This window comes from Homo sapiens, chromosome 7 (assembly GCF_000001405.40).
Source record: "Homo sapiens chromosome 7, GRCh38.p14 Primary Assembly".
Taxonomy (NCBI): Eukaryota; Metazoa; Chordata; class Mammalia; order Primates; family Hominidae; genus Homo; species Homo sapiens.
Genome location: NC_000007.14, coordinates 29,299,055 through 29,325,950, shown reverse-complemented (window position 1 = coordinate 29,325,950; position 26,896 = coordinate 29,299,055). Strand labels below are relative to the sequence as shown.

General features: G+C 42.3%; 1 protein-coding gene across 11 annotated transcripts in view, besides 4 other annotated features; it reads right to left on the bottom strand.

Annotated features, from left to right (window-relative positions):
- The window catches only part of CHN2 (chimerin 2), a 367,738-nt gene that overhangs the window by 188,378 nt on the left and 152,464 nt on the right, over positions 1–26,896 (bottom strand). The gene's annotated exons all lie outside the window — the stretch shown is intronic.
- Positions 136–661: an enhancer, noted in NCBI's record as "NANOG hESC enhancer chr7:29364906-29365431 (GRCh37/hg19 assembly coordinates)". NCBI's record gives its function as "activates a minimal SCP1, AML or CMV promoter by ChIP-STARR-seq in naive H9 embryonic stem cells {active_cell/tissue: H9 hESC(naive)}" and the evidence as "EXISTENCE:reporter gene assay evidence [ECO:0000049][PMID:30033119]".
- Positions 15,551–16,119: an enhancer, noted in NCBI's record as "H3K27ac-H3K4me1 hESC enhancer chr7:29349448-29350016 (GRCh37/hg19 assembly coordinates)". NCBI's record gives its function as "activates a minimal SCP1, AML or CMV promoter by ChIP-STARR-seq in primed H9 embryonic stem cells {active_cell/tissue: H9 hESC(primed)}" and the evidence as "EXISTENCE:reporter gene assay evidence [ECO:0000049][PMID:30033119]".
- Positions 21,564–22,064: an enhancer, noted in NCBI's record as "H3K4me1 hESC enhancer chr7:29343503-29344003 (GRCh37/hg19 assembly coordinates)". NCBI's record gives its function as "activates a minimal SCP1, AML or CMV promoter by ChIP-STARR-seq in primed H9 embryonic stem cells {active_cell/tissue: H9 hESC(primed)}" and the evidence as "EXISTENCE:reporter gene assay evidence [ECO:0000049][PMID:30033119]".
- Positions 22,065–22,565: an enhancer, noted in NCBI's record as "H3K4me1 hESC enhancer chr7:29343002-29343502 (GRCh37/hg19 assembly coordinates)". NCBI's record gives its function as "activates a minimal SCP1, AML or CMV promoter by ChIP-STARR-seq in primed H9 embryonic stem cells {active_cell/tissue: H9 hESC(primed)}" and the evidence as "EXISTENCE:reporter gene assay evidence [ECO:0000049][PMID:30033119]".

The window sequence follows — 26,896 nt, the reverse complement described above, 5'->3', positions numbered from 1 at the left end:
ACACAGAGGTCTCAGAGTCTATTTAGAAGCAGATCATGAAAATATGGTCCAGTTTTCCTAACTCCTAATTCAAGTTTTTTTCAGCTACATCTCTTACTTCAGTTCCTGCAAACATACTCCAAGATGGAGCATTTCCCCTAAAGAAAATGGGCGGCTCTTCACCATTCAGTGGTGCCAGGTACAGTGTCCTGGGAAGGAAACATTTTTCAGACCAGCCGTAAGTGAGCAATTCAGGGTGTTTTCCTTTAAAAGCCACACCCACTCCTGCAACTGCATAGGCTGAGTTAGCAGCTTTGCAAAGATATTAGCACCTCACTGGTTGTATTATGTTTCAAAGTATAACCCTTCTCAGAGGTACTCCCATTTTAATAAGATTCACTTAAAGACTGAAAGTAACATTTGAAAGAACTTTGTGAGGCTCAGAACCAGGAGAACATCAAAGAAGGCCTGAGACAATTGGCTGCCTTTCATAGTATGGTGCTGATGGAGGTCAAAAAGAGCGCTCAATTCCTTTTCCAGCTGCCATTGGCTTTCCTACTAAGGAGGAGTGCCTTTGGATTGCCAAGGACAAAACAAAGAAAGCAGACCCCAAGGCGTGATGAATGGGTAGGACGAAAACATCTACTGCTCCAAATGAATTCAAATCTCACATCTGGGCAAACTGTGTCATGGGCTTAGAGGAAAATCAAATGACATGGCCAACCCGCTGGGAGAGTCTGTTGAGGAAGACATGATCCATCAGAGCGGGACAGAATCAAGGAATTAGGCAAATGCCTACAATTTTTAAAAGGGAGAAAGGGAGAATTCTCAAAGGTACAGGTGGCTCAGCTAGAAATTGATCCCAGAAATAATAATGGATAGACTGTAAAGGGAGTCAAAAATGGTGGTGCCCTAGGAGCCAACCCAATCCACAAACCTGAGAGACCAGAGAAAATGAAGCAGACAAGGGGGACTTCAGCAAAGCATTTTAGACACAGAGACAGGTAGCTCAATAACTTGATGATTGACAATTATAGAGTTACAAAGGGCATGCATTAGTTGATAGGAAAGTATTTCTTGTTCTTATCCCAGGGAATATTTAATCAAAAGCAGGGAGCATTCTTATCAAAACTATCCATGTACAGTGGATCAAATTAAACTTCCCTATATTTACAAGAAATAAACCCTTTACTCTTTCTAGAATAAATGCCCAGAAGCTTGGATTACCACCTGCAGGGGGTGGTTAATATATTAGACAGCAAAATGTGGATTTAAAAAGACCTGAATAGCTTGGCACCAAATTCAATAAAATTTTCAGTTGAGAGATAGATGTAACTTTCTGTCAAAAATTAAAAAAAAAAAAAAAGTCACAGCTGATGTTAGAAGACACGATCTAGCAGGGGTACATATGGTACAGATGCAGAGATTGTCAACAGTGTCACTCTAACAGTAATGAAATGGCTTTGCAAAAATTCTATCAGTGAGAAAAATTGTAACAGCTGAACTAACCCAACCCCTATCTTGCCTTTCCCTAAATTATTCCTGGGCTTTTGGGCCAAGCGGACTTTGAGAGACATTTAGGCTATGGTTTAAATGATAAAAGGTCTCCCTCAAAATTCAATCACTTTTATAAAGCTAATGGGAGGCCATCAGGCTGTGTGGAGAAGAGATGCATGCGTGCTGCTAAGGTGCAGGTGTAAACGATTATCAGCCATGATTCCAGAAGTTGTAAGATACGCAACTTCAACTACTCCTGCAAATAGCATCACTATTGTAGAACCTAAGATGGGCCTTTTGAGATATCTTTTCAAGTGTTTTGAATGTCTTGACACTTACGGCTCCAATGGACCCACCAACCCCACTCCTGTGCCCGCCCCCCACCTCCCAAAAGTGATTCAACCCACAGGAGGACAGCTTCAACCCCCTATAACTTTTTTTTTCTTTTTTTTGGTTTTGTTTTGTTTTTTTGAGACGGGGTCTCGCTCTGTCGCCCAGGCTGGAGTGCAGTGGCACAATCTCTGCTCACTGCAAGCTCCGCCTCCCGGGTTCACGCCATTCTCCTGCCTCAGCCTCCCCAGTAGCTGGGACCACAGGTGCCTGCCACCACGCCCGGCTATTTTTTCTGTATCTGTATTTTTAGTAGAAACGGGGTTTCACCATGTTAGCCAGGATGGTCTTGATCTCCTGACCTCGTGATCCGCCCGCCTCGGCCTCCCAAAGTGCTGGAATTACAGGTGTGAGCCACCGCGCCCAGCCTCAACCCCCTATAATTTAATCTCTGCCCCAACCAATCAGCAGCAAGCCCAGCCACCCCACCCTTCCCCCTAAACTGCCTTTGAAAAACCCCTAACTCAGGAAGTTTGATGAGATGATTTAAGTATGAACTCCATCTCCCACGTGGCGAGGCGGCCTCATGTCTATTAAGCACTTTATTTACTACAATGCTGTGGTCTTTCTTTATGTAGCAGGCAGGAAGAATCCCTCAGGCTGTTCCAGTAAAGTATGACAAAGCTACCAAAAACTCTGTAATCTTAGGCTGTGGTAGCAGAATAATGAGGGGGCCATCTGCTTTGGTCAGACTACCTGGAGTGTAGTTCTGGGATTGGAATACGTCTGGAGGAGAGGATTCAAAACCTCATCATGTAAGACACAACTGAAGAAAGTTGAGTGAGCAATGTCTCTGAGTGAGCAGGGTATCCATCTTCAAACATCTGAAAGGTCAGATGTTGATGTGCTCTGCGAAGTCCAAGGCTGCAGAGAAAGAGAACCAGTGCCAATACAAGCAAGCACTTTCTTTTTTTGTTGGGGGGGAACGGGGGGGACGGATTCTCACTCTCTGGCCAGGCTGGAGTGCAGTGGCACGATCTTGGCTCAACTGCGACCTCTGCCTCCCAGTTTCAAGCATTTCTCCTGCCTCAGCCTCCCAAGTAGCTGAGACTACAGGTGCATGCCATCACACCCAGCTAATTTTTGTATTTTTAGTAGAGATGGAGTTTCAACATGTTGGCCAGGATGGTCTCGATCTCTTGACCTCGTGATCCTTGGCCTCCCGAAGTGCTGGGATTATAGGCATGAGCCACCGCACCCAGCCACAAGGAAGCACACTAGTGGTCTCCAAAAGTTGCTTCAGGAGGTAGGTCGTTCCCCATTACAAGAAGCTGTTAGGCATGGCTACACAGTGCTTCCCAAATCGAGGCATGTCTATCCTCTAACTCTAGGCCGTCCCTGACTAGGAATAGTGTTGACCTGACTATATTTGCAGTAAATAATTCCTTTGTGGAGTAAAGACCTAGGACTTCATATGACCAGCTGAAAGAGCTACTTCTATGAGCCACAGAACCGTATTGAAATCCTAATAAAGTCAGTGTAATGATATGTTGACATTATAGAGAGCTTTCATCTATGGAGCTCAGGGCATTTTCACACCAATTATTGCTTTTTATCTTCACAATACTCCTACTAGGTGAGGAGGAGGAGGAGTAGGAAGAGGAGGAGGAGAAAGAGAAGTTTTATTTTGCCCATTTTGTAGCTGGAGAAGCTTGGGGAGATTTGGCAAAGGCTGTTCCATCATCACAGGGGTGTGGGGTTTAGAATTTGTAACCTGGTTCTTTACCAATCTCTATTGTCATGGGTTAAAGCCACATCCCACCTTTCTGCAGGACACTGCCCCTGCTACAAAGCATTTGAAAGCAACCATAATCAAGGACTGAGCCCACACATTTCGTTCCAGGGAAGGCAGAGACCTGCTGGTGGAGACAAACAGAGCCTTTAGGAAACGATGTGAGAAAAGCCATTTGGCCCCTAGGAGTGGTGACTGACAAGCAAAGCCAGTTTGAATAGCCCTTTACCTCATATTACTTCATTTTCCTCAATTATCTGAGGGGTTGATAATTCTCTGGGATGGGAAGCAGATCCAAAATGGCTTTTAACAACACATGAAAATATCCAAGGGCTAAGAGCACTCTATTTTATGTTTCTATTATGGTATTTAACACAGTATGCCTTAAATTAGATTGGCAAATGTCTCTCTGACTAATCCATAAGATCTGCAAAGGAGGTGTTAAACCTTCCTTGTCTGTCAGAAGGTATAGAAAAGTGGGTTTGGCTGGGCGCGGTGGCTCACGCCTGTATCCCAGCACTTTGGGAGGCTGAGGCGGGCAGATCACATGAGGTCAGGAGGTCGAGACCAGCCTGACCAACATGGAGAAACCCCGTCTCTACTAAAAATATGAAATTAGCTTGGCATGGTGGTGCATGCCTGTAATCCCAGCTACTCCGGAGGCTGAGGCAGGAGAATTACTTGAACGCGGGAGGTGGAGGTTGTGGTGAGCCGAGATTGTGCCATTGCACTCCAGCCTGGGCAAGAAGAGCGAAATTCCATCTCAAAAAAAAAAAAAAAAAGAAAGAAAGAAAGAAAGAAAAGAAAAGACGGTTCAAGCACTGTCCCTGAAATTAGATTGCTGGAGTTCAAATCCCAGCTCTACTACTCATGAGCTGGGTGACCTTGGGCAAGTGGGTCACCTGCTCTGTGCCTGGCTTCCTCATCTATAAAACGAGGATCATAGAGGTATATCCTCCTTCAGAGGATGGCTGTGAGGAATAGATCAGCTTACCTATTAGTGCCCGGTCCCTGGCATGTGCGTTCCATGTGAGTCTCCATTTTCACTCTATAGACTGCTGAGCACAGCAAGCTCTTAGCATGGTGGCTGAAACAAATCTATTCTCTACTCACCTGCAATAAGATCTTGGGTTGTCTGCACAAGAGGGACAATATTAGAAAAGCATGTATAAATGAAATGCACAGATAACCCAGAATCTTAATTTCTGAAAAAATTTTCAACTATTTTCTGTAATGAAGCTTTGCAACCAGAACTGCTAACAATCTGTAAGCATCTTCCCTAGACCGTTTTGTAAAATAAATAGTGAGGTTTTAAAGCGATCTCATTCTCAAGGAAGTTTTAAAAGAAGCCACTTTAGAATGTCCCATGAGGGAGAAATTTACCAATTGCTCCTAGTATTGGACCTCATTTTAAGTGATTCAGATTCTGGTGCCTGAGAATAAATCGAGATGGGACCCATGTGGTCTCTATGCCTGCAGCAGATTCACCTTTGCAAACAGGATATGAGGTGAAAGGAAGAAAGAACATGTGAGAAGACTGGAAAGAATGGACCAGGTGGCCACCACCTGACAGAAAAAGATGTTCCCTCATCCTGGAAGGAGTGCCAGGACAAAGAGAAAGAAAGCATGCAAGGACAGAACCCCAGGGAAATAGGCATCTAGTGTGGGTGACGAGACAGTTTGATAACAAGATTTGGGAACAGTCATTAATATTACTACTATTCCAATTAGCATCTGGGATCCAACTAGCTGTTAGATGTGAGTGAGGAATGATGCCATATCCTAGAAATTGCTCTGTTGGTTTTGATGTTTCTTTCATATTTACTCGGGTTTCTCTCTTTCCATAAAGAGAATTTTTTATAATAAAGTTGCAGAAAATGTGTGATCACAAATCTGTGGGGAGGCCATCAAAAAGCCACCCTGGCAAACCTTTGCAAGGATGCCCTTGTTATTCAGACCTGCAGGGCTCTGTCAACCTGATTAGCACCCCCCTGCAGGGGGCGAGGGGGTGACAAATGGATATCTTCCCTTGAGACAGAGACTGCAAAAATTAGAAGCCACAGTTTGGTGGCTCTGGGACCCAATTCTCCTGTGTCTCAAGTTCATGTTGTCACTCGGCATGGTGGTTAAGAGCTCTGCTCTGGTCTGGCAGACGACATGTGGTTCTAATCTAGTTCTGCCACTTTCTGGTTTTGACCCTGGGGAAATGCTTTCACTTCTCTAAACCTCTGTTGCTTCCTCTTTAATAGAGAAATCTATTGGACACACTCCTCAGGGAGACTGGAAGGATTCAGTGAGCTGATGTAAGTGCTGAGCAGAGTTCCTCACTGAATATTGATGACCAGCAACCTACTCATCAATTCCCCACTTTACACATATTTTTCTCTAGTAAAGAGTCACGAAAATGCAGAAATAACCAAAAGCCAGGGCCAGTGAGGTCGGGGAGGGGAAGGGGCACAAAGGCACTGGTCACGACAACACTGGCTCGTTCACTGTGAAAAAGCTAGATGTGACGAAGGGCTTGGTGCCACTCGGTTCCAGAGTAAACAAATGCCCAGATGAGCCACGGCCCTGTAAGAAAATCCCAACACTGCAATATTGTGAACAGACAGCCTCAGGCACCCATGGGAGTGAAGAGAAATGCTGGAAATAAAGTAGCTTTGTGGAAATGGAGGCCAACTCGGGAGTGCTAATCTGACAGCGAAATCTCATGCTAACCTAGTGTTATCTTTTATCAAAAGAGCTCCTGGACCCTTTGACCTTATATCAAATATAAATCAACAATTTTGGCAGCTGCATTGTATCTGAACAGTGTCCACAGGATGTTAAATTAAAGGACATCTGGGAAAGCACCATGCACCATGCCTGGCTCCAGAGAATACAAAGCACACTTTGGTGCTAGTATAAAAATAAGGTGATAGTTGACTTTCTGCACCAATAATGAAGGTGCTGAGCTGATTTGCACCCACAACTTTTTTCTCCTCCTCCTCCCCTCAACATGTAGAAATCACTCAACCTCAACTCGCTTGGAGCCTAGTACTTAAAGCGATCTGTGTTATTTTTGTTAACAAAGACGTGCTGAGAACTGATGCTTGAATCTTTTTCTTTTTGTGATGATTCCATCAAAATGTTTCATGCAGGAAGACCTTTACAAAACTCCCAAGAAGTACATAAGAGTTTATGGTAGACAATGGCTTTTAAATGTGCAAATTTCACACACATAGTTGCATGTTTATGCACGAAACCATGTCCTACAGAAGCATCCCGTTTCTCCCTCAGTTCCCGTCTTAGCCTCTGCCCTGTGTCTGAGGGGAGGGGCTGCCTCCCAACTGGACAAAGAGTGGAGAACAAGTCAGCTTGCGGTGTGCACTACTCTGGGGCTTGTATTAAGGAAACTGGAGCTTCCAGGAGCTATAAGCACCTCTGCACAGCCCTGCCAGCCATAAGAGTCAAGCTAAACAAATTTACAAGGAAATTAAATTTTTCCTTTCTATTTCATGGGAAGATGAGATTCTTCTCTATTGTTAGGCCCAAACTATAATGTTCCTTGCAGCTTTCATTTAAAGGTAATAGCTATTTGTTACTGTGCAGAATCTGTTAATTTAGGTTTATAAATTAGATACAAGGTGGTTCACTGAACTAGTACAAGTTTCTTGGCTTAATCAATTTGCAAATGCCAAGGTAAAAAAAAAATCAAATAACTGCAGCAAAAGTTACCAGGAAAAAAATGACTGTGACTGGCTCAGGGAGCTACCTGAGGTGCAATAAGAGCCTGTGAAGAAGTGTCTCTTTTAGGGCTCTGACCTTGCCCTTGTCTCTTCTCACTCTACATCCTCCCAGGACAGGCTCAGCAGCCCCCTCAGGCCTGGATGAATTCCACATGGCTTCTCCATTCCAGACCTCTCTAGAACCCTCTGGGAAAGGAGTCGACAAACTTCCTGTAAAGGGCTGGAGAGAAAATATTTTAGGCTTTGTGGGCCACCTAGTCTCTGTCGCACCTATTCAACTCTGTCCTTATTGTGTGGAAGTAGCTAGAGACAATATGTAGGCCAATTAATTTGGCTGGGTTCCAATAAAACTTTATTTGCAAAAACAAGTGGAGGCCAGGAGTTGGTCTGTGCAGCCATAGTTTACTGATCCTTGCCCCAAGATCCAACTGCCTACTAGACATTTCCACCTGAAAAATTCCACAGCTGCCTCAAAACCCAACATTTCAAGGCTAGACATATTCTCTTTAACCCCTAGTCTTCTGTAAACACAGCAACACTCATGGACCCAGGGCTAACACTGGGGCATCATCTACATTCTCCACCCTGGCATCCTACAGTCAAGTACCACACATCTGTTTTTTGTTTGTTTTTGTTTTTTTGAGACAGGGTCTCGTTCTGCTGCCCAGGCTGGAGTGCAGTGGCACTATCTTGGCTTACTGCAACCTCTGCCGCCTGGGCTCAAGCCATCCTCCCTCCTCAGCCTCCGGCGTAACATGTACAAACACACCACCACACTGGGCTAATGTTTGTATGTTTTGTAGAGACAGGCCTCCTCCATGTTGTCCAGACTGGCCTCGAATTCCTGAGCTCAGGTGATCCACCTGCCTCAGCCTCATATCTCATATGTCCCACTTCAATTATATGTTCCCTGAGTGCAGGGACCATGTCTTACCTATGTTTCTAATGATCTCTCCCTCCTATTGTCTAGTTTAATGTCTGGCATACGAAAGAGGTGCTAAAAACGTTTGATGAATGAATGAATGAACTGTTTTAGCAACTCTGGGGCAGTGCTTCTGAAACTTCGATATGCATGTATATCACCTGGAGACTTTGCTAAATGCAGATTCTGATTCAGTAGGTCTGGGCAGGGCCTGAAATCCTGCATCTCTATTAAGTCCCCAGGATACTGAATGCTTTTGGTCCATGGACCACACTTTGCACATCGAGGATCTGGGAAATATCCTTCGGTCCCAAAGTGCCTAAACACAAAGAGATTCTTCCCCAATTCTGACGCATATGTTGATTTTTTTTCCACAGTCATCATTACTCGTACCAATTTAAAACTCCAGAGAAATTAATAAAATAGTTTATGGCATCAAGTGACTTTTAAATTTGCAGAGTTTACACATATTTCCATTTCTGTGCCTCGGACTATTTGCTGCTTCAATTACTTCCTCCTTCCCTATCTACTTCTATCCCTTGGTGCCCACTTAATTTAATTTAAACATAACTGTGCTCATTATCTGTGTAGCAGTCCTTCTACAGATGCTCTGCCAATGCAAGACTTCCTTACCAAGATGTGTTACTTATCATGATTGTGCAAAATGTCTTAAGCAAATTATTATTGTTCAGAAATTCAAAAGAACAATTTGTTTTCCCAGAACTCTAGTACAATGACTAAATCGAAACCTATTTTCAAGCTACCTACACCCCTTTTTGTAGCAATAAAACATTTTTTTTTATCAGCAGAGCAAATAATTGCATACAGAGTTCCAGGGACCACATGATTCCCCCGCTACCACACACCCTCCAAAAAAGGAGACTATACCAAGATTATCTGGACAGACTCCATACTCTAGAAAGCTTAGCTATTTCTTTGGCAAATTAGAAGTATAATCCCAACATTGTGGAAAAAAAAAAATCACACATCTTTGTATGAATTCAGTAAATGTTGATGTCACATTGGGGGCAGCAGCTCTAGCTACATTCAACTCTACCTGAAAACTGGCTTTTAGTATAAGCCATGGATCCATAACACATAGGCTAGTTTACAACAAGTAATTTCAGCATTTTTGGATAATTACATTCCCTCCGACAATTTCTAAGGAACCTGCATGATACTGAACTGTGTCAGAAAATAGGTGCTACAGTGAATATGTGATTCTAATCAGGCTTTTTTACCATGGAATTATAGTAAAATGCACTATAATCAACTCATATAAATTGCTCTGTGCCTATACTTATCTCTAATGAAGGGAAGCAAATTGCCTTACCTGAAATTATAAAAGAAAATGATTACAAAGGTATGGAAGTTTATAGGCATCTTATAAGACCTGATTTTATTATGCATTATATAGATGGCAAAAAATTCCTATTTATCCAGAATCTAAATGACCAGGAAGCTCAAATAAAATGTGTTTCATGGGAATTTGTTTTTATGTGCTGAACTGCAAGATCCTGAAGGGTCTTTAAGATCATCAAAGAAACATGAATGCTCACACAACTTTAGAGCTGTAAGAGGTGTGGAGTTCACATGGCCCAACCTGTCCATTTGACAGCTGCGTGCTGAGCCCAGGGGAGAGCATGGCTTGCCCAATGAATTTGTGACAAAGCGAGACCTAGATTTCAGTTTCCCTCATACCCCACAAATGGTCTTTGTGCTCTACTAGGTGAATGGTATTAAATACCACAGCCTTTTGTGTATTCTAATTCTTAGAAATTTCCTAATTTATGCATGGTCCACCCTTGCTAAAATTTCAGCATACACCATGATATCTTAGAGCTCCCTTCCCACTTAATCTTCTCTCTTAGCATTTTCACGATTTAAAAAAATCATCTGTATTCCCCATTAGCAGGCAAGATTCCTAAGGACAAATAACTTTTTTTCTTTTATTCACTGCTGAATCACCTAGAACGGTACCCAGCACAAAGTGAGAGGTTGAGAAATAGTTGTTGAATGAAAAAAAAATGAATCGTTTATGATAATCCTCAAATCCCATCACTGCATTATCAGAATACCCCATTTTTTATGTCATCTATTTGACACTTTTCCAGAACTTCTGATGTGCCAGGCATTTTACAAGGCTGAGGTGAACCACAGAGTAATAGGCTTATTTTATTCATTCAGGGAGCTTAATTTAAGGTGATCCTATTATTGTAACCTCCTAATGCAATGTCATCTCTTATCAGCTTAATTCTGCAGACTGTAGCTATGTATTACTCCCTGAAGGAATTATTTTCACCTTCAACCTGAAGTTAGGACTCATGATTCAGCAATCTGCTTTCTGGGATCATACAAGGGAAATTGCAATCTTTGTGCTTGCTTGCCAAAGCTGAGAAAGATGGAGCAGATCAAAATAAGCAGGATTTGCCAGGCAATTTTGACATATTCTTCCTCTCACATATAACCATCACAAAGTAATGCATTTCATAATGAGAAGATCCTTGCACTAGAAGCATACATAGTATCACATGTCTCATCTTCTTGTTTCTCAGGTAATCCACAAAACAGAAATAAATACATCGCTTTGTTTCCCAGAAATATGAAAAAAATAATAATTTCATAAGAATTCAGGATATTATACAATATTTTCATAATTGAATACTAAATTACAGTAAGGTTAACTCTTCTACATTGAGGATGCTGATATTTTACAGTGTAATTAGTTCTGAGGGATTTGGTGGCACTTGGAATTCTCTTGCCCACATAAACCCAAGATGTCGTTTTAATCAAGTGGCAGCTTGATTAAATATAACAATTATATATATATATAAAACAAATATATAATTAAACATAAATAAACAGCTTATAAGACGCTAGAAAAATAAACAGCAGTAAAGGCTCAATTATTCACCCTTCAGTGGAAATGCAAGTAATTTTTTAAAAACTGTTTCCATTTCACTTTGGATCCCTACCTATCCTCCTCAGTTCATCTTAAATGGTCATCTTGAATGCTCTGCCTCCCTGCTCAGTGAACTCTCACTTCTTGGAATTTTCAGTGAATTAATACCTTCTTTGAATATTTTTGTTGGTGGTGATGTTACTTTCTAATTCCTCTTCCAGGTTAAAATAGTTTTACACTTAATTTTATTTTTCATTGTGACAAAATGCACACATCAAATTTATCATCTTAACTTTGAAGTGTACAGTTCAGTAGCGTTAGGTACATTGACATGGTTGTGAGACCAATCTTTAGAACTCTCCTCATCCTGCAAAACTGCAACAAGGCCAATTAAACAACCAATCTCCATTCCTCCCTCACTCCAGCCTCTGAAAATCACCATTCCACTTCCTCTATTTGTGAATTTGACTACTCTAGGTACTTCATATAAGTGGAATCATATTGTTTGTTGTGACTGTCTTATTTTACTTAGCATAATGGCCTCAAGGTTCATCCATGTTGTGGCATGTATTAGAATATCCTTCCTTTTAAGGCTGAATAACATTCTATTGTATGTAGAATCCATATTTTGTTTGTTCAGTGGACACTGGAATTACTTCCACTTTTTGACTATTGTGAATAATGCTACTGTAGCATGGTGTACAAATATCTCTTGGAAATTTTGCCTTTAATTATTTTGGATAGGTACCCAGAAGTGGAATTTCTGCATCATATGGTCCCATGCTAATATCAACATTAGTGTATATACTGGCAAGCACTAAGGACGGGAGATTTAAAAAGAGGCCACCAGGAATACACTGGGCAGAATGGCTCTAACCAAATAGGAATGGCACTCCCTAGACAGAGGCTGAGAGCCTGTGACTCCAAGGAGCTCTTGCATCGTGTACAATTTCTAAAAACGATGAACGCTCGTAGTAAGTTATTTCCATAAACCACCTTAAGACCCCCATCTCTGCTGTAGAGGAGATAAAGGGTATGAACACGAAGAGCCAGAGGGGAGAAGAAGGAGAAAACAAGAATCAAGGTATCAATGAGTCTCTTAGAGGAATTTTCCCAAGTGGACCATTGTAGGAGTGAATGTTTTCGGGTTTAGGGAGCTTAATCTTTGCTTCCAGGGTTGGTCAAATACTGTATCTCTAAAGACAGCATTTCTCTAAATGAGATGCTTTCCTAGAGTGTGGCCCACCTTGGCAGGCAACAGAGAGCTCAGCAGAGGACTGTAGGGAGTGTGGGGCCTCGGGTAGGGCCAGGGCTGCTTCTGCATTTTTCTGAGAGTGAGCTGACACCTCTGGGAACTCAATCAGGAAGATCATCTGCCTCACCTGCTCTGTGAAGATGTTCTCATTACACCAGAGTTCCTCTATTTCAGGGGAATCCTCCCAGTTTGGGTTCATAGGGCCTTGACTATTTCTCCCCCAGTCCTCCTTAAAATGTGACCATTTGTTCCTGGGGAAAAACCTGAATGCAGGCATTAACCCAGGAATTCCACTTATCTCTGGAAGGCTGAGGAGGACTAGGGCTGAGGGAAAAGCTTGGTTTTGGCATTGGGCGGGTCATGGGTGACTTGTGAGCTGGTTCAGTGAGGCTGGAAATCTACGAAAGAATTAAAGAATTGAGTGGACTGACAGGGATAGAGGAATACTGACAATGTTTGGAAGAGAGTCCGATAAAAAAGAATACATGTAAAAGATAAAGTTCTGGAAATATGAGTTGTATGATTACCCAAGATTCAGGGAAACTACTGATAAATGCAGAGGCTTCCTATGGTCACACCATAGCCATCAGAATTCAATGTAGGGTCTAAGGAAAGAGTGCTTTGCATTCATGGAGACTGGAGTGTGGGGAGGCAAAAATGAAGAAATAGCATATTCTGGTGGTATATTTTAAGCTGGTATTTTGCAAGTATAATAGGTTATTTCTATTCCTGTAAGACTCCATTTGTTTTAAAAATAATGCCATTATTTGGGAATAGTCTGAGTTTCTTAATACATCAATTTCATCTTAATAAGTGACACCCTAGAAAAATGTATTCTTCAAGCAGGAGAAGCAAATTTTTTTCAGAGCTCCACTCTCTCTACGGCAGTAAGCAACATGTTGAAGAACATGTTCTTCTGCACGCTCATTATTATTTAGGTCACTTAGACTATTAATCCTTTTGAATCTCTGCTGTGTTACAATAAATCAGAAACCACATCGACATTGTGAGGTTGCTCTGACCTCTATAATAAAGTTAGCTTCTTTTCCCTTCTTCTGCCCCCAGACAAAATCTATGGCATGTGGTGACACACACTTTGGTCAGATTAATTCCTCTCCATTTTACCTACAGTTTGAAAGAGAAAATCACATTGTGCTTGATGAGTTTTGATCAACTGTTCAAAAAAACATATTTGGCAAGGTTCAGGGGAACGGAAATTAAGAAGCAAGGGAGGGAGAGAATGAGGTAGGAAGAAGCAGGAGGGATTGAGATGGTTTCTCAAGAGAACAGGTGGAGCAAAGCAGAAAAAAAGTGGAAAAGATAAGCAAGAAAGAAGAGCATGAAGAAATGAGAAATGTAATGCCATTTCAAAAAACTGTTTTCAAACCATTGAGAAGCAACAGGCAGTCATGATTCGACCACTGACAGCTCGCTTATATGTGACCAGTTACAGAGCTCTGATATGACAAATGAAGGATTTGTATTAATTTCCAGTACTGTAGTTGCCTCAAATCATACCCAAAATTTAAAAGAAGAGAACTAGAGAAGCATGGATACAGGAGTAAAAATGTCATCTAAATATTACCTCAATCATTTACCTAACTTGCCCTTGACATGTTCTTCTAGAATCTAAGTCACCCCCCTCCTCCATTATTGAGGGCAAGACTCTTGATCTGTTTTCTTGCTTATTTATTTCAGGTGGGTGCTTAAAACAATGCCTGACACATGGCAGATGCTGAGTAAATACTCGTTGCCTAAATAGCCATTCAATCAGTGTTTATTATGAGATTCCTACATGCCAGCCCCTGGGCTTGGCACCAAAAAAATACAGATAAATTTAACACATGATCCCCCCTCTACAATGTGGTAGGGGAAGAGAGACAAGTGAAAGACCTTAGAAATATGAGAAGCAGCAGCAGATATATATGCTCAGCATAGAGATGCTGGAGCCACACTGCCTGTGTTTGAACCTGAATCTTATTAGTCCCTATCTGTGATGTCTTTGCAAGTTGCTTAGCCTCTTTGTGCCTCAGTTTTCTCATCCGTGAAGTGGGGCTATGATCCTCACAGGGATACAGCCAGGATACGGGAGAAATATAAAGTACCTGGCACAAAGTAAGTGTCAGGAAGCGCAGTAGAGATTAAAAGGTTCTGTGAGAGGATTCAGAACAAAGAGTGAGGCATAAAGAAGGATCAGTTCTGGAGACAAAAGTGGGGACTGCCAGGAAAGACTCCAAGAGAACACGTGGCCCTTGAACCTCTTAAGATGGATCACATTTGCCAGGTTGTCGGTGACAGGAAGGACAATGGAACGGTGTAAGTGAAAGCCAGGAGGCAGGGAGTCCCATCAACAGGTGACAAAGGCAGGGGCAGGGAGAATATGATGGAGGGACTGGATACAAGAGATGCTAACAAGGCTGAATCTACAATGAATCTACAAGGCTCGGAGACTTATTAAGTGTGCAGTAGGAAGGGAAAACATCTGTACTGAGGACAGACAGAAAAGCAGGTTATGGGGCTTTTTAAATTGCACATTAATGACTTGTTTTGTTGTTTAAGAATTCTTTCAATAGTTTTCTTTTTAATAAACAAGTAATTATTTGGAGAATTTAGTCAATGTCATAAACTGAATGCTTGCATCCCCCTAAAATTCTTATGTTGAAATCCTAACCTCCAATGTGATGGTGTCAGAAGGAGGGGCTTTTGGGAGATGATTAGGTCATGAGGGTGGAGCCCCCAGAAATGGGATTAGTGCCATCTAGAAGAGACTCTGGAGAACCACCTTCCTCCTCCCACCATGTGAGGACACAGTGAGGACACAGGCCCTGTTTATGAATCAGGAAATGGGTTTTCACCAGACACCAAACCTGTAAGAAACAAATTTCTGTTGTTTATAAGCCACCCACTCTGTGATGTTTTTGTTATAGCAGCCCAAATGAACTAAGACAGTCATCTAATTTTTAAAATACCATTTTAGAATTTTATATCACCTTTCAAAACAAATATGTATTAAATACAGAAAATTTGGGAACTACCGTTGGGCACTAAGAATAAAACAACAATCACTCATAATCCCATTTACTGAACTAAGCATCCCGTTTCAATCTTTATATTTTCCATTGTTTATATTTGTATACATTTTAATTGCAAATACAGGATCATATGGTACCCACTGTTTTGCAGCTTGATTTTTAAAAATTAAACATGAATGTGATTATATTCATTCAATATTCTTCTACATGTTCAATTTTAATGGCTTCAAGTATTCCACTCTATGGATGTATCATAATTTATTTTTATCTCCTCCCTTATGTGAATGTATAAGTTGTTTCCAGTTTTTTTTCTATTACTGAACATTCCTGTTGATACATCTTTGTCCACATACTTGATTTTAGTGTTCATTTTAATGTATTTTATCCGTGTAACCATGTTGAAGTAAGGGAAAGTAAGTTAAATGTAGTTTATTGTACTCTTCACAAGAATTAATCCAGCCACAGCTTCTTGGTCCCCCCACCTAGGAAATGCCATGTGCCTGCCCCATGAGAGACAGAACAAGGTGGGAGAGGCCCATTTGAGGCAGGGAGTCCTGCCTGGCCAGTGCTTCCAGGGTACAGGCACTTGGGCCCCTTCAGCAGCATTCCCCAGACCCTAGACAACCTGGATCCATGTAACAGCCACAGCAGGGCCCATGAGCCCGCGAGGTCTCCACCCTCACCTGCAGGAGATGAGGCAGCAACCAGCCTGCGTGGCAAAGTGGCCCAGCACCTCCCTTGGAGCCCTACTCAGAAAATGGGAGGAGAAGCACATTTGGTGGCAAGGCCAGAACCTATTCCCATCAGCTCCTTGATCTTCGTGAATCAACAGAAGAAAACACAAACTCCCGAAGTTACGCAACTGGATTTGATTATGCATCATTTATTTCCTTGGGTTAGGCATTCCACTTCTCAGACTGCCACATGCCACTAGCTCATGCTAAGCCAGAAAGGACAATGACAATGGGAAAGAAAAGGAGAAGCAAAATTAGAAAACTCCTTCATCTGAGGTGGCATGCTCCCACCACCGGGGGCCACTGTGAATATATTAATAGGAACAGGTGGTAGGAGGAGAGGAGCCAAATGCTTTGTCCTCTATGAGTGGAGAAGGGAAGGGTGGGGGAAGAGTTAGGATGGTATCTGAAAGGGTCTACACTTTCTCAGAAATACAAGAGCAGAATTAATCAACCCAAATAAGGAGAGCACTGCTACTCTCAGGCTGCTCATCTGGAAGACTGGACTCAAATTCTACAACCCAAAGAGCGGTGACTTTCCAAACACTTTTTGAACCGTAGGCCAAAGTCCTTTATTTCTAAAAACAAAAACAAAAACAAAAAAAAAGCTTTTGGCTGCTTCTTGAAATTTATTCTTGTAAAAGACTATGACCTATTTATTCTGTCCTTGCTATAATAGTGGATACCCTCTAGACAAGGTCTATGCTTTCCATTCATTCACTTGTTGGGTCATTCATTCATCATCCATTCATCACATACTAATAAACTATTCTTGGTGGGTAATCTACTCTGTGCAAGATGTTGCATTGCCAGGTTTGTGCACATAGTAGTGAGCAAAACAGACATGTTCCTATCCTCACACCCTTCTGGTCTTGGAGAGGAACACAATTAACAAAGAAGCCAAAAAATTATTGAGTATAAAGTGCAATGGAGGAACTAAATAAGGTGTTTTCATAGAGGCTAATGAGACAGATCTGCTTAGCACGGTTATAAGAGGCATCTCTGAGGAAGGGCAGAACAGGGCTATTATCCACCCAACTACTGAATTTTCCTCCTGGGCACACAGGAAGACTACATGCCCAGCCCTTCACATCCAGGTGAGGCCATATGGAATGTGGCCCAGGTGATGTTCATTCCAGGCCCAGCCCACACAATCCTCCACGCATTCCTTGCTCCTCAGCAGGTGACTGCAGAGATCCTGCTAAGGATTCCGAGAAGGCACCGGGGGAAAGAGAGGTCACAAGCTGGAATGGTTGGTGGCTGTGTGGAACAAAGCAGAATCCCAATTCCTATCCCAACACACACACACACACACACCCCAACCACCTTGCACTGTGACGTGAGGGACACGTGCTTTATTGTTTTAAACCACTAGGATATTGGGTTGTAAGTGATAGCACTTAGACTCTTCTGACTAACAGAGGAGGAAGGGTTAAGCTAAGGCCTAAAAGATGGGAAGAAGCCGGTTCTTGGAAGATCTGGAATAAGGGTATTCAAGGCAGAGGAAACAGCATGAGCCAAGGGCCCACGGCAGGAAGTCTGAGGAATGGAAAGACAGCTGGAGGAGTGGGAGCTGAGAGAGTGCAGCGTAACATAAGGTAAGGCTGGAAAGACAGGAAGGAGAGAAAAAGCAGGAGCTTGTAGACAACAATTAGAGTTTGGATTTATTCTACATTCTCCATACTTTTCCAACTCCTTTGACACAGTTATTTGTATGCCGAGATACCCAGTAGACACTATTAGCTGATTTATTTAAAATGACCAAAAATCCAGAAAGATGCAGTGCTAAATGCATTAGTTTTCTACTGCTGCTTTAATAGATTAGCACAAACTCAGTGGCTTAAAAAAACAAGAATTTAATATCTTGAATTATGGAAGTCAAAAATTCAAAATAGGTCTCATTAGGCTCAAATCAAGGTGTTTTCTGGGCTGGGTTCTTTCTGAGCAACATCACCTGGGCCACATTCCACATGGCCCCAATTGGATGTGAAGGGCTGGGCATGCAGACTTCCTGTGTGCCCAGGAGGCAAATTCAACAGCTGGGTGGAGACGCTAAGGAAGAATCTATTTTGTCCACCTTCCTTGACTCCTGGTCCCTTCCTCTCTTTTTCAAAACCCAGCAGCAGAGCATCCTTCAATGACTCTCTGACTCTCACACTCTACTTTGCCTTAAATGGGCTCTTGTGATTACACTTGGCCCACTCGGATAATCCAGGGTAATTTGCCCATCTCAATCAAGGTCACCTGGTTAGCAATCTTACTTCATCTGAAATCTTAATTCCCACTTGACATGTAACAACATATTCACAGGGTCCAGACATTAGAACAGAGACATGTTTGCAGGGACCATTATTCGGTTCACCACAGTAGGAATACCATTACTTGTAAATTGATGTTGACTAATCATACTCACCAACCTTGTAACTCATAGACTCCTTTTATTCTTTCCCTTCAAACTGGATGATTTGAAAGATCTGATCTCCAAAACAAACTGAACTTATTATGTAGTTACTGATAGATAATTATTCCATTAGCTTTTTTATTAGGCTTTTAAAAATGTATAAAAGAGGCTGCAGACCCCTCAAAACATCTGAAGTGATTGTAAGTTGGGAACCATTAGATTTACAGACAACTGAGCTTCTCAAATCTCAGTTCCCTTGGTCTGGTTAAATGATTTAGCTGAAGGCGAATCAGCGAACACTGATAGGATATATCCAGGCACATCTCTTTCCTGCTGTCCCCAAAATGAGAGATTACGGATGTCCTCTTGAAAATGTCACCATAAGAAAATCATACTCTTAAGAGGAAGGAGGCTTGGACGTTACTAGTCACATCTTTAACGCTGAGAGCTAATTATTCCACATGCTTCACACCACTGGATGGAAACACTCATTATTGTGTTAGAGGACAGGAATCTGGCAATTCTGCAGAATGCAAATCACCCAAAGCCATTCCACTCAAGCTGGCCTGATTAAGTTTGCTGTCAGCCCTCAAGGATGCTAACAAAGCTACTGGGACAGGAGGGAGTTCACGGCAATTCTTACATACTGATTACACTGGATTAAGTGATTTGCTACATTTAAATAATAAACAATACACTTGAAAAATCACCTTGAACACAAGATTCCCTGGACATTTGTTCCTGGGGATGAATGTGTCACAGGGCAAGGATATAACAGTTCATTCAGCATGTGCTCTATCGCCTTGGGCTTTAACACCCAGGGTCCCCCTTTCCTGCCACAGCCCCTCCTCTCAGTTTATACTCATCTTCTGACCAATCAGCACTCTCTTAAGTGACACCTCACAAAGGAATTTTGCCTTCCCATCACATCTCTTCTACATTTGCTGCTTTGTGAATCCTCTATTATTTATTAAACAAGCAACTCAATCAGTGCGTTCCTCCTTTCTTTTGCATGATGCCAGTACCTCCATTTTCAGAGATACCAATAATTAACTTCCTAGCAAATGCTTACCTTGACTGCAGTTTTTAATCTTCAGATATCCTCCCAGGAAACTGATAAGGCAATAGAATGCTTTCAAGTCTGCTTCTTAAGACACCACCAGTTTAGGGACCAAAGATTTATTGACTTACACAGTGCGCTATTGAGTAAATCAATGAATAATCACATACCAGCTTCCATAACAAATCCTAAATAGGCCCTAACTTATGACGGGACAGAAAGTAAAATTATGGTATTGGGAACATCCTGAGATACTTGTCTGACAACGATTGTGCATTTGGCCCACAATCTTCACTGCTTCTCCTTTAGCTATACCATTCCAGCAGAGCTAGAAGTGAGCATTCTAGATATGAAACACAGAAATCTAATATAGTAATAAAGATTCAAGTAAGCATGTGTCTAAGTTTGGATGGGGAAAAGGAGAGGGAAAGAGGAAGGGGTTGGAGGGGTAGAAAGAGGGGAGAAAGAGAGAAAGGAAAAGGAGGAGGAGGAGGAGGAGAAAGACGAGGAGGAAGGAACGGGAGGATGGAGGGGAGGAGAAGGGAGGAGAGGGAAGAAAGATTTACATATGAAATAGATGCACATTCTTTTTCAGAAGAGTAAAATTTGGGCCCAAAGAGTTAGCTTCTGGGCAGCCAGTGTGGCTTTCTACACAAGTAAACTTTATCAGGCTTTTCATTCTGCGCAATGCCAATCAAATAGCTAACTCTACAATTGCTTTGATTACTAGTCTCTAAAAATTATCCAGCTATTGACCCAACTTTCCATTTTATCATGCTTAAGAATTAACAAATGCAAATTTTCTTCCAAATCACAAGCTTTGTAATAAATAACGATAAGTATCAAAACTAAAAAAAAAAACTGATCTTTATCATAGAAGAGACTATCCCTGTTAGAATGTTGGGTGCTGAATATTTTATGATTTAGAGCATGTAGAATATGGACAGCAGGTAAAGGGATGTTTTCTCCATGCCATTTCTTTTATTCATACGTAATGGGGTTGCCTGACATAGTAAGAGCTTTAAAAAAACATTGTTGGATAAGGATCTTTTATACCTCTTTGAAACCTTATAAACACTCTTCTTTCTCTGGAATGATTCATGGGGTCCTCAGAAAAACACCCCTTTCCCCGGCAACAATCACTGGGAATTTCCTGGCCTGCCTGTCGTATCCTCTGTGCAGGCAAACGCTGGCTGTTTAGAGCTCCTTCCTTGGCCACTGGAAATCTGGAGGCTCACCCTCCCTTCAGTGTCCCTTTCCCCTCCAAGTAGCTCTCCAGGACAGGATCTAAGTTGAACCCATGCCAACTGACCTTGGGGCCTGGCTCACATCTGGTTCACGGGAAACAGACGTATCCTCCGCCCTGACAATTTCTAGATACTCAGTCATCCCCTAAGGCCACAATCTCAGAGCAACCTGCCCTTTAGATTTTTCAGAGTGAGTCAGGTCCCAGTCTATTGTGTCCTTCAAAATGCAGACGACACTTATTTAAACCATTCAAGAGGTCCAGCTGAAGCCTCTCTCTCTGGGCCTGGGGCAAGAGGCTGGCCTCCCCCTATATCTTCCTTTCTGGAGAGGGCGAGATTTAGAACATAGCACACAGTTTGCTCCAATATTCTACATGGGCGAGGGCTTAAGAGTCACAAAACCAGTTCGTGTGCAAATCTTTGTACTCCTGAAAGGGGGTCTTGGACCAAATTCTTAAATGGCACATTTAATGTATTGGGTACCCAGGCAAAACCTGGATTAAAATAGTTCCATTTAACATAGTGTTATATAAGAATACTCCATTTTATCCTAAAATATGAAATGCTAGAGTTCCAAAGCAGATTCATTAGGACAGTTATGGTTCACTTGATTACATTTTACATTGTTTCATGGTGTTTAGTTATGAGGTATCATCTCTCTCTACAATTACAATTTGGCTAAGCCTCTCTGAATATGTTTATTTGCTCCTTCAGTCATTTTTGGTTTCTTAACTCTCAGCTACGTCTCGCACCATATAAATCTCCTGGGGATGCCAAGGATTAGGCTTCAGCAATCTGCAAATTGGGTTGGCTCTGTTCTGCCTCTAATTTATGTCCTCTACACTTCTTGTACTTCTACTAAACCGTGGGGTTGAAACATTCGAATTAGGATATTTTTAAGTACTAACTCCAGTGGCTTTTTGTGTGTTTTTCATTTTGTCCCTCTACCCAGTGACCCTGACCTATTCAATCAGCCAAAGACACTGCTTTTGCTACTTTTTTTTTTTTTCTTGAGATGATGTCTCACTCTGTCACCCAGGCTGGAGTGCAGTGGCACGATCTCGGCTCACTGCAATCTCCGCCTCCTGGGTTCAAGCCATTCTCGTGCCTCAGCCTCTCGAGTAGCTGAGATTACAGGCGCATGCCACCACACCTGGCTAATGTTTGCATTTTTAGTAGAGATGGGGTTTCACCACGTTGGCCAGGCTGGCCTCAAACTCCTGACCTCAGGTGATCTGCCAGCCTCAGCCTTCCAAAGTGCTGGGATTACAAGCGTGAGCCACCATGCCCGGCCTGCTTTCATGACTTCAGAAAGAAGGAAAGAAACACAAAGCAGAAAACTAAGAAATGGATTATCTTCTGCTTCGAAGTCTTGAGCCCTGGCATGATTTGGAAGGATAGGTGTTAAGTGATCCAAGGCTCTGAAGAAAGTCCTATAGGCTGGGGGAAGCTAGTGAATGGATGGAGGTGGTGGAAGGGTATTAGACACCGGGGAGTCCCTACGGAAGGGCCCTAAACTCCACCCACCTCCAGGCAGATCCTGAGAGGAGTGAATAATAACCTCCCAGGTGGAACTGGGAAATAAGAGGGAAGGGGGCATGGCACTTGCCTGTGCTGGTAGAGGCGGGGAGGACAGGGAGGTGTCAGGGTGGATACGTCTGCTTGGTGTGCCTGCGCCAATGACTGAGACAACCCAGGTGGGTCCTAGTGCCCCAGCACATCACAAGAACAGGTGAATGATTCCCGCAGGCCCCAAAGGCGGCGCATCAATGGGAATAAGGCTTATGCAGCCTGCCAAGTTTCCTTCTGGAAAGAAGGATGATCCATATGCATCAAGCGTATCATGAAAATAACTTAGAGAGAGCCAGACTTTAAGCTGTCTTGCTGTGGGGAACGTGGGCCAGCACGGCAATGACTAGGGGGATGAATGACTGGGGACAGGGAAACAGACGCCAGCATCAACGCACAATGGCAAGGCATAGACAGCCTGTTGCCCCTGATGTGAGGTACTGAGTCAGACCCCTGGAACCTAGATGGACCTGGAAGATGGGCGGGACCGGGATCTGTCACTCTAAGCTGAATACTATTTAATCACATGTGTATACGTGTGTATAATGGAACAGTACTTAGCTTGAAAGAGGAATGAAATTCTGACTTGTGCTACAACATGCTAAACTCTGAAGACATATGCCAAATGAAATAAGCCAAGCAAGAAAAGCATATGATTCTACTTATATGAGGTATGTGGAGTAGTCAGTTCAAATACAGAAAGTAGAATGGTGGCTGCCAGGTTCTGGAGAGGGGAGGAGAATAGAGAGTTATTGTTTAATCGGTACAGAGTTTCAGTTTGGGAAGATGAAAAGGCTCTGGAGCTGGATGGTGGTGATGGCCACATAACACTGTGAATGGACATCAAACTGTACACTTAAAAATGGTTAAAATGGGGCTAGACACAGTGGCTTACATCTGTAATCCCAGCACTTTCAGAGGATCGCTTGAGCCCAAGAGTTTGAGACCAGCCTGGGTAATATAGTGAGACCCTATCTCTTAAAAAAAAAAAAAAAAAAAAAAGAATTAAAATTTAGCTGGGTGTGATGGCACATGCCTGTACTCCTAGCTACTCAGGAGGCTGATGTGGGAGGATCGCTTGAGCTCAGGAGTTTGCAGCTGCAGTAAACTGAAATCACTGCACTCCAGGCTGGGCAACACAGTGAGACTCTGGAAGAAGAAAGAAGAAATACGAAGAAAGAAGGAAGGAAGGAGAAGAAGGAAGAAGAGGAGGAAGAAGAAGAGGAGGAAGAAGAGGGAGAAGCAGCAGCAGAAGAAGCAGAAGTAGCTGCAGCAGCAGCGGTGGCGGCAGCTAAAATGATAACATTTATGTTATGTATATTTGACCACAATTTTTAAAATCACGCTCGCTAAACTGTAGCTCTAGAGATCACTCTGTTAGAGAGAGACAGCCACGGGTCAATGCAAAAGGCTGAGGGTCCTTATCCTTGGAATTCTCCAGCCTGTGACATTAGGTCCTGCCTTAGGGCTCCTCTGGCTTTGCCCATGTTCCTCAAGGGGAAGTGCATCTCACAAATTTCAGTGCCACAGGTAGACAGGATGGTGTTTTGCCTCCTATCCCCAAAGTGGCCAGCTTCAGTCTAGCTAGGGCTGCAGATGGCTTCGATGAAGATAGTGGAAATATATGTTTAAGTCGGGATTTCTGTAAATTTTTTTCCTAGACCAAAAAACTCAAACATGGACCTATTTGAAGAGAAAGGGGGAGGAAATCTACCACCATGATAACAAGCACTTCCTTCTGTACAATGTGTTAAAACTCAAAGAGTGCTCTCATTTTAGTGCAATTTTTTAAGATTACGTAGGGTGAGTAGTATAATTCATATGCCATAGATGAGATGAGATGAGGCAGAGAGATGTTAAGAAACTTGCTAAGGTCGCCCAGCCAAGCAAGAGCATGAACAAAGACTTCAGCCCAAGTGCCTGGAGTCCAGATCTCCAACTCTCTACAATGTAGCAGGTTCTCCCTTCAGAAAAGGATAAGAGGCATCCTGAGTGGGCTTGGATCATCCAGCGTTCAGGACACAACAGAAAGGCCAGGAGCATCTGGGATCCTCTTTTAGGGCAAAGCAGTCTACCTGGTGCTGCACTTAGATTCCAGATGAATCCAAAAAACTGTGTGTGTGTGTGTGTGTGTGTGTGTGTGTGTGTGTGTGTGTGTGTACCTGTTTGAGGCCCTGCTTTCAAATACTTTGGGTGGCAAAGAGTAATTTTTAAAAGCATTCTATAGAAGAAAGTAGGAACTGCTAGAAAAACATAAAATAATTAAATTTACCTCATTTAAGGATGCATGAGGGAAGCTATTGTTAGGGTTTCCTGAGCTGACATTATAAAAGCTTTTCTTATCACAAGCTTTTTAAGAAAAAATGACAAAGGACTTTCTGGACTCTGTGTTTATTAGGGGACTATACAAATGACAGTATTCAAAACAATTGACAAATTTTAAACTTGTCATTTATATGTTTAATAAAACATTACAGCTTTAATTCTCAAAATTAACTAAAAGAAAATGGAAAGATACTCATTCAATTTCTGAGAATTTTCATCTTATGGTTATTTCATACATATAAGAATAAACACATTTAAAAAATATTGCACATGGTAACATGTAGCTCTAAGGAATATCATGTTTTACGAGATAAGCTCATTCCTTTCCTGTGTTTCATCAAATGCCTACAAATAAATCACATTTTAAATGGGGGTGAAGACTAGGCATACTTGCTGCTTAAAGAATTCCTGAAAAAAGGGGCTTTTGGAAAATATTTCTTTTGTTATTCAAATAATCACCTGCTAATTTATCTGCTTCATTAATTCAGAATTTCATGTTTTGGTGTTTTTTGAAACAAGGAAACTTTTCAAGTCTGAACACTGAATCACTACTTTTTTTTAGCTTTACAAATTTGACCCACCATATCATTTTGTTGACTCCAAGTATTACGCTGCATCTCTGGCTATTTTGAGCACAATTAGAAGTAGAAAATAGCATCACTCAAAATTGGGAAGAAATATAAAAGGGCAATGTTTTCCCAAGATTGTCCATTCAGAAGCCAGTGTCAAAGGCCCAGGAAGGCATTCCTGCCCTAATGAACTACCTGACCCTTGCCCCACCCTCCTCTCCCTAGCTCACTTTTGTTTCTCATATGTCACTAATGGCCAAGTCCTGTCTCTTCTTTCAGGGTCTTTCTTGCCTCACCCTCACCTCCTATTTTTTCTGAAATGCCCTGAAGGCTTCAACACCTCATTTGGTCTATTGCATCTGGTTCCCTCATCCTACACTCTGCTTACCATTGCTTCTGCTAGAAATTCCACATTCCTTAGCTTGACATGTAAGACGTTCCATAATCTGGCAGCTCCTGCTAGCTGGCTTCCTGCCTCACAGATTGAATCCCAGGTTCCACCCCGGAACAGAAGAGGCCAGGCTCCTCCCCACTGCAAAGGGAAAAACATCCCACGGCTCCAGTCCGTGCTCCCATCTTTCTTCCCAGTCTAATTTGCACTCAGTACTCTGGGCCCCTCTGGGTTCCTGCCTCCAGTTTTTTACTCTATGTTATTTTCTCTGTTTGGAATCCCATTTCCCCATGCCCATGGCCCATCCCCAAGTTGCTTCATCCTCCAGGTCTTCCCTGATTCTCCTTCTCGGGAACTTATGCTTTTATCTGCACTCTCATGGACAGTTGTCTACTTGTTTCTTAAAATGCTTTCTACATCATCAGTTATTTGTGTTTCTAGCTCAGTATTCCATGCCTTCTACTTAATAGAAGCTCAATGGAAATACAGGAATTATGGGACAACAAGCAATATTAGTAACCTCATTTCATAATTGCATTACTCTTATAAGTTAGAGTTTTGAGTCATGTGCATTAATAATAATAATACATTACATCCATGTTGTGCTTTCCAGAACTATTATCTATTATCTCAAGACCCCTGACAAAGGTGACATCCCCATCCTTATTTGATGTATGAGCACAATGAAGCAAAGAGCTAGCAAGCAGCAGAGGCGGTGTTGCTGGATACAGTGAGCAAAAATTTCTGAAAGTACTAGAACAGAAAACACTCCCCAAAATGAAACTCAACCTGACTGCAAATCCTTTGTTAAGGTCTCCCAGACAGCACTGCCTATGGGGTCAGGAATGTGTTGATTTAGGTGCCCCATGATGAACACACATGATAAACAAGATTTCAATGAAACCAGACAGTACATTATCTTATGACAACAGAAATCACCACGGATCAGTACTGGTTATGTTCCTTAGTAAGACAGCCAAGTAGAAAGGGGTCCCCGGAGAAACTCCGACCGGTCTACGCAGTGGGAGCACGGGGTGGAACCATAGGATGTTTGGTCCTTTTGCAGTGGTGGGGAGCCTGGCCTCTTCTGTTCCAGGGTGGAACCTGGGATTCAATCTGTGAGGCAGGAAGCCAGCTAGCAGGACTCTCGCTCTGCGGAGAAT